The sequence below is a fragment of the Homo sapiens genome, chromosome 7 (assembly GCF_000001405.40).
Source record: "Homo sapiens chromosome 7, GRCh38.p14 Primary Assembly".
Taxonomy (NCBI): Eukaryota; Metazoa; Chordata; class Mammalia; order Primates; family Hominidae; genus Homo; species Homo sapiens.
In genome coordinates this window covers 143953631-143964953 of record NC_000007.14, presented here as the reverse complement: position 1 = coordinate 143964953, position 11323 = coordinate 143953631, and the positions used below count along the sequence as shown (strand labels likewise).

Genomic DNA, 11323 nt, shown 5'->3' with positions numbered 1-11323 from the left:
CTTCTCTATCAGGGGCAATATTGGCATTGCCTAGTTGGGAGGGAGTACTAGGGCCATCTAGTAGGTAGATGTTAGGAATGTTGACCATGCACAAAATAGCCCCCATAACAAATAATTATTCAGCCCAAAATGTCAATAGATATTTGGCACTTTTGAAAACTCCTGACCTATGCAATATAATAGTTGTAATAATCCCCAGAAAAAAAGGAACATTGTGTTTCTTGCTACAAACATTGTGTGCTTCTTGCTAGAAGTACATGTGACCATCTATGAAATACCATTGTCATAAAAAAAAATAAACCTGATGAAACCTCTGGATTAAACAGGAGATACAGAAATAAAATAACATGTAAAATTACACTATAGGGATGTCATCAAAAAATCTAGACTGTATGAGAAATCCAACAGGAACAAATGATACAGTTTTATTTAAAAAATAATTCCAACAGTAAAAAAGTAGAATTTATAGGTTACTAATTTACTATAAATTTATTAATTGATAGAGTAAAAGAATTCTCAGAGGCATAGTAGACAATTGGAATATATGGGTCTTATTTAGATTCTTATTTGAACAAACTGTAATTTTTATATGTATTAGATTTTTAAGGAAAACCTTCAGTGGTGTTTTTATGGTTATTAACTAATGAAAAATATTTTATTTTCAAATACTTTTCAGTGTCTTTTTAAATTTTTTCTATTTAATGGCTAAATAAACAATAAAGTTTAGAATAGCATCTTATTTTGTATTCCTGTATCAAGACAATGTTCATGCCTTCTATTGGGAATGTCCTTCACAAGCAGCTATGAATTAGAAGTGTGTGTAGTCTTAAGGTGATCCAACTAATTTAATTTATGAAGATTAAAGTTACCGAGAAAGTGCAGCCTTGAAATTAAAAACTCTATCAAATAAAAAAGATAAAAATTGAAATTTAATAGATGGAATATATGATGGTTAATATTGACCATCAACTTGATTGGATTGAAGGTTACAAAGTATTGTTCCTGGGTGTGTCTATGGAGGTGATGCCAAAGGAGATTAACATCTGAGTCAGTGGACTAGGAGAGGCAGGCCCATCCTCAATCTGGGTAGGCACCATCTAATCAGCTGCCAGCATGGCTAGGATAAAAGCAGGCAGAGGAACATGGAAGGACTAGATTGCCTGAGTCTTCTGGCCTCTATCTTTCTCCTGTGCTGGATGCTTCCTGACCTTAAACATCAGACTCCACTCCAATTTCTTCAGCTTTCGGACTCTTGGACCTACACCAGTGGTTGACCAGGGGCTCTCGGGCCTTTGGCCACAGACTGAGGGCTGCACTGTTGGCTTCCCTACTTTTGAGGTTTTGGAACTCCAACTGGCTTCTGTGCTCCTCAGCTTACAGAAGGCCTATTGTGGTACTTTACCTTTTGATCGTGTGAGTCAATACTCCTTAATAAACTCCTTTTCATATATTCATCTATCCTATTAGTCTTGTCTCTCTAAAGAAACCTGACTAATACAGAATATGAGACTATAGTAGTCTATTTCTACATACCTAATGCCCACTCTCAGCATTTCTGCTTCCTGAGATATCAAGACTTGGATAACCCTTCCAGGAAGAACCCCAACATGCTTAGGAGTTGTTTGAAGGCAAAGGATTGTGTGATGGTTGATGGAGAAATGTCACGAACACCGTGACCACACGACCGCTGGCAGAAATGAAGATATAGCATCTTCACGTATTTTCCTCCTTGATGTATTATGTGTATGTTTGTATTTTTGATTACTTTCTTCTTATCTCTTTCCCATACCATTTCATATAGAGCATGTTCACGATGGTGAATTTTCCAGTTTACTACACAATTTACAGAATGTTCAGACAGCATCCTCACATTTTAGAAGAGGAATGATATTCAGATGGCATTTCCAATCTGGGAGATGAAGTGTTTTAGCTGACATCACTTTTAAATGACACCACTTTACTTGTCTCCTTCCAATTGCATCTAACTTAATTCAGATGTCTCGAATGTCTCAAGAGTATTACTGAAGCAGACCCAGCAGACAGGCTGGTCATCTTGCCTCTAATCTTTTCTTCCACTATCTCATTTGCCAGAGTGATACTTTTAAAATGTAATTGTTTTCAATCTATACTCCTTCTAAAAATTTTTGACGGACTATTGTTTTCTATTAGAATAAAGTTAAAAGATACTTAGACATTCGACGCCTTCCAGGATCTGACCGTGTCTAACCCGTCTGCTTCGTCCTCACTACTCTCTCACTCTTCTCTGCCCTGAAATTGAACTTCCAACATTTTTTGGACTTTCATGCTTGCTCACATCTCTACAACTTTGTACAGGTTGTTTCTTTTTTGGGTTTCTTGTCTTCTGGATAACTTGTTCTTACATTTCTGGTCTCAATCCAAGGGTCCTTTTATAGGAAGCCTTCTGCAATCATTTCCAGTGGGCTCCCCTTCACTGTAACACTTACCACAATGCATTATCATTGTTTCATCATCTGTCCTCCCTACTATGTGAGATTATCCTTGTTATGATGGTATCATATTGACTATTGTGTGCAACAACCATTTATTGACACTGACACAGAATAGATACTCCACTGATAATACTTAAAATAAAAATTTAATTTGCCAGCATTGTCATCTTTTAGGATGCCTGCCTATCTTGCAAAATTTAAGATTGCATTACTATTAATATAAAATTCAGATGTCAAATGGGCTTTGAGTTATATGCCTTCAACACTGTAAAAACTCTTAGATTCTATGATGATGTGTTGACAAATGTAAGAACTGCAAATCAACTGACTTAAAGAAGACACAAAAGGAAGAAAAGACTGACTCCTTCAAGGGAGTAGGAAGAGCAGCTATGATCATATTCTTTCTTTTCTTTCCACTTTTTCAATTATGTCTTCTCCTTTTACATCAGTTATGCTCCTTTTCAAAGGGAAGTCCATTCTCAGACAAGCCCAGGTTACAAGATTTACAAAAATTCACCTATGGCTCTGTTGTGTGTGTGAAGGTGACGAAGACGGAGGTGGCAAGAGAAGTTCTCAATGTGAAGACTTGAGGGTAACATTTGCATAGTTGACTGACCTTCCTTGACGTTCCAAACTTCATATTAAATTATCTTACCCTTCATTGACTTTGGCTGAAGAGTTTTTCCTTAAATTAACTATGTCTTTGACATTTTTCACAGTATCTCATAATTTGTGTGCTTTTTTGTGTGTTTCTGAAGATTCTGAGAAAGAGCTTACAGATTTTTCAGAGATTGATCATTTTTAATATTTTCAACGATATACCTATATATGCAGTAAAATCCTTCTCAAACTGTTTGAATACTGTCAAGAAGCACCTGAAGCTTAACTTTTCTTGGTCAATAATTGTCTTCAGTACAAACAACCATTGACTGTCACCCTATCGAGGTGAAACAAGACCTTGAGTTGATATTTTTTCACTGAATTAGCTCCAGCACTCAGGAGAAGACATTATGTTCACCTTTTGTAGGTCCTGCACAAAAACATTTTAGTCAGCCTTGACAATAACACTTTTCTCAGAATGTTGACTCACACAATTACTGCATGTGATGACATACACTACAAATTATTTAAAGTGAGTCTTCAAATGTAAAAATGCATTTTGTTTTCAATGGAAGCCCCATAACCTTTTATAAAATGTGGATGTGTAAGTACCAGTGGTCCAAGGTAAGATCCATGAGTAGGTCTATCATTACAAACGATATGACAAATCAAAACAGTAAGTAGTAATTTTTTTTCAACGATTGTCAGGCTGTAAGAGTGGAGGTGGAAGAAGTGTGGGAGGTTTTATAACAGCAGTATCTAACTCCACTGTTCATAAATATAACCCCACGTCCCACACCCCATCCAATTGAACCACTCCCCCTCCTCCATAACATCCACAGTACATGCTACGTCATCTCCTTCCTGGTTGCCAGGGCAATGTAGTTTACACCTGTCAGATCTCAGCTGGGTGGAGAACACTGAGGCAAAGCTGTTTTCTCTAAGTCATACTCATGAGTCAAGTTGCCAGCTTTGATGTTAACCCAGAGAATTTCCATAATAGTTTCTGCCAGGCCCCCTTCACCTCTTTATTCCTTAGGCTGTAAATCATGGGGTTCAGCATTGGTGTTAAAATGGCATAAAAGACAGAGAACAACTTCTCCTGAAGGACAGAGGGACTGGAGTGGGGCTGGATGTAAGTGAAAATGGCCACACCATAGCACAGGGCAACCACTGTGAGGTGAGAGGCACACGTGTGGAAAGCTTTCTTTCTTCCTTCTCTGGACTGGATCTTTAGGATGGTGGAGATGATCTGGATGTAGGACAAAAGAACCAGGCAGAAGGGTGTCATCAGAAGAACAATGCTAGACACCATGATGGTGACCTCATTGGAGGAGGTGTCCACACAAGCCAGCCTGACCACAGCTAGGAGTTCACAGGATATGTGATCAATAAACTTGTTTCTGCACATGGGCAGCTGAAAGGTGATAGCAGTCTGCACAGGAGAGCTGATGAAGCCACTGACCCAGGATGTGATGGCCAACCTAGCACACAGCCCTCCATGCATGATGGCCGAGTATCGCAGGGCATCACACACAGCCACATAGCGGTCATAGGCCATCACCGCCAGGAGAACAAACTCAATCCCACCCAAGGCCAGGGAGAAAAATAACTGGGCTGCACAGCTCTGGAATGGGATGGCTTTATGTTCTGCAAGAAAATGTGCCAGCAGCTGAGGGACTACACTTGTGGCATAGGAGACATCGACAAGGGAGAGGTTGGTGAGAAAGAAATACATGGGAGTGTGGAGTCGGCTGTCCAGTCTGATCAGAAGGACAATGAGACAGTTCCCCAGCACGGTCACCACATACATGACCAAGAACAGGACAAACAGGGAGACCCGAGTGTCCCAGTCACTGGACAGGCCGAGGAGAATAAATTCACTCACCCAAGTCTGGTTATCTGTTCCCATTAAAATATTCAAGGATTATTAATCTGTGAAGGGAGTCAGAAAAAAACAGAAGCTGTTGAATAACTATAAGAATTACTTGTTTGAATGCATTCTGTACATGCCAGCCAGCCCTAGGCAGGTATTTTAGATCATTTATTGGCCAAAATGAGAGTCTTGACCCAACATGCATTATATTTACTTTGCATCAGAGAGACAAACTATGGCCTTTACAAGACACAATTTGATATCAGGGAAGCCAGTTAAATCCTGGAAATAATGCATTGCAACATTAGGAATTCTACATCTTCACCAACTTACTTCAGATTCCAGGGCAAGGAGAAAATTGCAAATGACAACCAGCGGTAAAATGATAAGCAGTGAAGAAGAATATGGTTGGAAAGTTAACAAATTACCTTAAACATGTCAACTAGACTCATCTTGATGAAATGTGTAAATCTACTACAAAAGGAAAGATTTGGAAGAAGCAAGGCCTGGAGGAAAAATCTGGAACTGGAAACCTACGTTTAAACCTTATTTTATTAGGCAGATTCATGATGTTGGTTTATTGATAAACATTATATATACAAGAGGACATTATTACATAACTCACGAGTATATTTAACATCAAAGTTTCTTTGAACTGATGTTCATTTAACATCAGTTTTTCTTGGAAGTCTTTTTATTTCTAGCTATAATAATTACTATCAATAACATATGGGGAAAGTACTTTTTGAACTGTTACTGGTAATACAACTCTAGAATCATGGATTTTAGTAGTAACATGATCTCTGTGTTGGGACAGGTAAGCCAACAAACACGATTTTCCCTGCATCCTCTCCACAAATTCAGATACAAATAAAATTGGAGACAATCTGTAACATACCTGAGAGTATAGGGATGGTTTGGATGCTTTGAGGATCCTGGGGCCACCGGTCTTTCAGGTAGCCCTTGACCTTTTTGTGGGATGGGATTGTAATTGTACTTCGGTCTCTCTCTTTTTTTTTTTTTTGCTCTTTTCAACTTGCTGCTGTTGCTATGGCTGCCAAAGAAAATAAACATGCATATGAATGCTTAGGCTTTTTAGATACAAGGGAGGAAGAGAAAGCAGATGTCTAAGTACCCTTCTTCATTGTCCAAGACAGAGAAGGAGATATGAATTCACTTGAATGTACATTGGAATGGAGATTCCCTTCTTACTTTTGCTCAGCAAGTGCTTTGTCAGTAAAACTAATGTTATAGCATCAATTTTGAACATAAATAAAAACAAATTACATTGTAAAAAAAAAATAGAACCAATTCCTTCTTATTCCATGTCTGCCTCTTCATAAGCGTTCTTTTTATTGCAGTGTTCACAATAAGGGAAAGTAGGAAACAAATGAGGCAGGAGGCATTAAGGACAGAAACAGGTCCAGACAGACTAGGGTCTCTTACTCGCAAGGGAAAGACTGTCAATACTTCAACTCTCTTATGTGATAAAGGATTAAGCAAAACATGTAGTTCCAGAAATACTCATCCCTTTCATAGTTCACAACCATTTTTTCTAAACTCTCCCTAATGTCCTCCTCAAGACCTTCCTTCTCCAACATTTCCTCCTTTACTGCTCTGTCCTGATGCTCCCACCAGCACCCCTCAGGGTGCTTTTCTAAAATCATAATGAGGCTGAGAATACGTTTGATTTCCTCAAAGAGACATTCAAATTCAAATTCTAAAACCTCAAAAACATTTCACTAAAAGAAAACCTGTCAACTATTGTTGACTAGATTCCAGATTTGCATCTGAATTAGACATTTTTCCATTAACTTGGCAAACACCTATAAAGTGTCATCGTTGTTAGATGATGGATTTTTAGGGTGAATATTACCCTTAATTTTCACGGAGAGCTGACCTATCATGAGGGAAAAGACACAGTGATCTTCACCGTATCATTTGCTCCTCTGCCGCACTGGAGACCCTGCAAGCCCATGACTCACTGTGCTCCTCTCAGCCACCCAACATGTCTCTCCACTAAGTCCTTGTCACATTACAAATGAGTGACAGTGTCTCATCTCAGAGAAAGTGTGAACTTCAGAGTCTAACAGCTCCTGTTTTAGATACACATGTGTTTGTTCTGCTTCCTGAGACTTGGAGCAAGATACTTAGCTTCTCTAAGCCTCATTTTCTTCATGTGTGAAATGTGCCTGATATTGGCCAGCTGAAGGGTCCTTGATGAAATTAAAGGAATTGAAGGACTAAAGCTACAGAAGTGCCGAAACAGGCAGGTGTCCATTGTTTACTGATGATCCTTAGTCTTGACTTCATGCTCTCTTTCAGAATATTCTTTCTTCATTTACTCTCCCTCTCTACTATCCTCAGGTTCCTCTTGTTCCTGAGTAACTCCTTCTCCCTCATTATAAAAGAAAATATACAGGCATCTCAATTTAGGAAGCTTTACTGTGTATATAGCATTCTAAATACCCCTTCATTTCACATCTCTAATGATTGGAATCCATTGTCTGGATTTATTTCCTAATATTTATTCCTGAGACTGTAAACATTTCTACCCTCACTAATCTTTAGAATTTGAAAACTTAAAGGTTACTGATAACCTGCCATCATCAGTTCCAGAGATATTTTTATTCTATTTGCATTCTTTACTTAGCTTTTAACAATGTTACCTATTTGTTCCTTCAAACTCTCAACTCTGTCATGGACTTCTGTCCTGATTTTCCTCCAATCGAATTTGCCTTGTCACCATTCTTAACCTTCCTCCTTCTCCTGCTCTGCTGTATGAGCATTTGCTAAAGTTCTGTGCTCAGAACTTGTACTCAACTTCTACAGTTTTTCTTGGAAGTCTTTTTATTTCTAGCTATAATAATTACTATCAACTCTATATGGCTCACTCTCAATTTTACATTTACCTTCTAGATTTCTCTTCAAAGCTCCAAGTGTATTCCAGAAAAGCTGAATGAATGTTTCCTAAATATCTCACCAATGCCTGTACTCCTCTATCCACGAATGAAATTCCCTCCTGAGTTCTTTTTTACTATCGGCAGAATTAGATTTCTCCTACTCTCTCAATGAATCATCTTTTATTTTTCCCTCTTCTTCTGTATGCCACAGAATACATTCTCTTCCTTTATTATATATCTCCCCCATCTCCTCCTTACTCTCAGCCACACTTACCTTTTCCCTCTTTATTCCCATCTGCTAGAGTTGCCAGACCTTACTTGTAAATTTCCCTAATGTAACTTCCATTCACTCCCAAAATCCTACACTCTAACCTCCAAGTTAATTATATAAAATACAAATTTTTATGTCCTTTTTAAGCACAAAAAGATCTATAATGTCTAAGTGTGTAAAGATTTAAGTTTATCCTGGGCAGAATACTTTTCATCCAATCCATAATCTGCTCTTCTTCTATGACTAACTTTATTTTATTAACTATAGCATTTATTATCATGCCTTGTGTTTTCCAGCAGTCTTTTATTAAAATAGGCTGCTAATACTTAAATATCTTTCACTGATATGTTAACCCATCAAGTATGCTGTGTTTTTCCATGGCTATTGTGGGTTTCAAAATAATTAATATTCAAAAAATATATCTTGTTTCGAATGTTTATGGACTGATGTTAGACAAAGAAAATGTAAATATCATCTGCATTTGGAAAGCCAGTTGAAGGAGGAAATATGTATGAGCCAGATGATTTTAATGCACCTTCAGTTAAAACCATCTCCATATTATTCTGGGCTCACCTTCCAGCTAAATATAACTGGCTTTCTATTCTTATATCAAGGTGAATGGACTAGGTGTCAGGTAACATGCTTCATATCCAACCACTTCTATAGGAAGCCAGAGCTTGATCTTTACTGCTCTAATCTGTGGAATCTATACTTTCCCTACACCGGTGACATTCATTGAGGTCAACTAACTAAGGAAAAAATGTGAGAATATTTCTTCAATTTGTCTGTACAAACACAACTACCAAAACCTCTTAATACAAGCATGCAGCCAAGTTACAAAACCAGTATTGGACAATGAACACAGCTAATAGTCCTATTTAGCTCTTTGTGGTGTACAAGTGTGACTTTTGTGCTCTTCACAGTACTTGTCCAACACCAACAACATTACCTTTTTGCCAGGCATCTAATGTTGCTTTAGTAAGCAATAAAATTCTATTTTACATTCTTAGAGTTATATCATCTTCATACTCAACAAACATCAAATCAATTTTTTCTATATGTGTTCTGAGCTTTCTTTTGACCATTGAAAATAACCAATTCACGCTGCCTGCTCAGAACACAGTACTGAAAAATGGCATACCCTGTGGTTCACCTCCATAAACAGGATCACAATGAAAAAAGGAATTACTGCTTCCTGTGTTTTATGAATTGGGGTGAATGTAGGATAATCACTGTGACCATAAGAAATAGAAAACAATGTGTGATATAGTAAGACAGGTGCTATTGAAATATTCTGTGAATGATTATCTTTTTTAAAGCCCTGTCTCTAATTCCTGAAATGTATTACATTTATGTTGCACATTGTCCTTTTTTGTGAAATGTTTAAAAATGCAATAATGCTAAATGAAACTTTTATAATATAAAGTACCTAAACATTATCAACTGGTATAACAGCTTACACTGATCCTTTACATCACATAATAGTAAAAGCTGGAGTTTTAGATGTAAATAACCTGAAAATTACAGGAAAAAAATCAGAGAAGAGGTATGAATAGCAAAGCTCAAAATTTTCTAGATAAATATTACCTTTATTGGAATGGCTAAGTTAAGCTAATTAATATATGCATCACATCACATACATATTATTTTTGTAACAAGATTTCTTAAAATCTATGCCATAAATATATACAATTTTTATTTGTCAAACAAATAAATAAAACAAAATTACTTTTGTTGGACCCAGGTAAAATATCCTCCATGTGTCTTCTCTGTTTATCCAGTAATTATTAGTTACAGCAAATATCAGGACTGAAATATTCTTCTATCAACGACAAAGAAAGAACAAAAAAATAAGTGTTTAGATTCCTCACACAGTTCATTTTACATAACAAAAAAACTCTAATTTAACAGTTAAATTTCAATCAGTCAAGATCTCTCTTTAGTAAAGCAAATCAATTCATTGATTCCATGGAATCTATTTTCTTTATTATAAAAATTAAATCTAAATTGCAACAAATTAAATGTTCTTTTTCAACCTATCCTATCTCGGTAAATTCACCCATTACTCTTTTTCTTATTGTTTCAATCGACTACCATCTTATAATATCTTTGACTGAAAATATATGTCACCTGAAGAAGATGAAGAGTGAAAAATTCACAGAACCATGTTAGCAGATGTTCAAACCTGGACTAGCCTTTATCTGGATGGGGTAGATAAAATTGGGCTATATAGACGTTCCTGCCTTCCTTTCTCTGAATTTATATTCTAACCCCTTATCTATGAGCCAAAAAGCTCCATGCAAGTCTCTGTAGCTCTCTATATTCAGGCCTGCCTTCCAGCAGATGTGGCCCCTGTTCTAAAATTGCCTTTTCCTCTCCCCTTCTTAAAAAGAACACAGGGAAAGGCAAGATCTTAAGTGAAGTTAAATATCTTACTCATAGTAAATTCTTAGGCAGTGATATATGTTAATATTTGTTGTAAACATCTGGTATTTTGAAATTATGCAATCATTCCGCCAACTAGTCTGTTAGAATTTTATTTAACCCTGAAGAGTTGATCTCCGAGATGGGGGTGCCATCCATGCTCAGCTCCCTACAGCTCTGCAGAATGCTGAGAAGAAAGGGTACAGCCCCAAGCAACAATGACTTCTCCCCTAAAGTTCCTTTTCAGCCTTTTGCCACATCCTCCCCCTATTGCTGCTTTAATGAAATGAGAAGACGTTGGAGGAACCATGAGCCACTGTTCATCAAGTAAAAGATGAGAAGCCAGACCCATAGTTAAAGATCAATCAGGCATTGACAGAACTTATCACTGTGTTGGTGCCACGCAGACAGGATCATAATTTGTGGGGCTCTGGAAATGTCTTCACGTGCTGCTGTTCACATTTTTGTTTTATTATTTTTAATTGCATTTAAATTCCATTGCTACTCTGTGGACCAAGACTGAAATATATTCAATTTATTCTTGCAAGGAATCAAATGTCCAGGGCTTGACACCTAGGTATATTTTCCATTCGCAACATTGAGTTCCATGATTTGCTATCCTACCCCAGTCAGTGTATTATACATTTTAAAGTATCTAACATAATTTTCTACCTCTATTGACTGGCTGGCTTAAGACATTAACTTCTCCCTTTTCCTCCATATTAGGAAGAGGGAAGTGTTGACTTGGAAAGACTCAGGAGGTATGCACGCCAGAAAA

At 37.2% G+C, this 11323-nt stretch overlaps 1 protein-coding gene across 1 annotated transcript; it reads right to left on the bottom strand.

Moving 5' to 3' along the window:
* Positions 1 to 593: 593 nt before the first annotated feature.
* On the bottom strand, positions 594 to 10110 carry OR2F1 (olfactory receptor family 2 subfamily F member 1). Its single transcript, NM_012369.3, has 3 exons — positions 9851 to 10110; positions 5846 to 6001; positions 594 to 5006 (listed from the first exon to the last, which is right to left on the bottom strand). The coding sequence occupies exon 3, from the start codon at positions 4981 to 4983 to the stop codon at positions 4030 to 4032; it is 954 nt and encodes a 317-aa protein (NP_036501.2). The 5' UTR covers positions 4984 to 5006; positions 5846 to 6001; positions 9851 to 10110; the 3' UTR covers positions 594 to 4029.
* Between the last annotated feature and the right edge of the window lie 1213 nt (positions 10111 to 11323).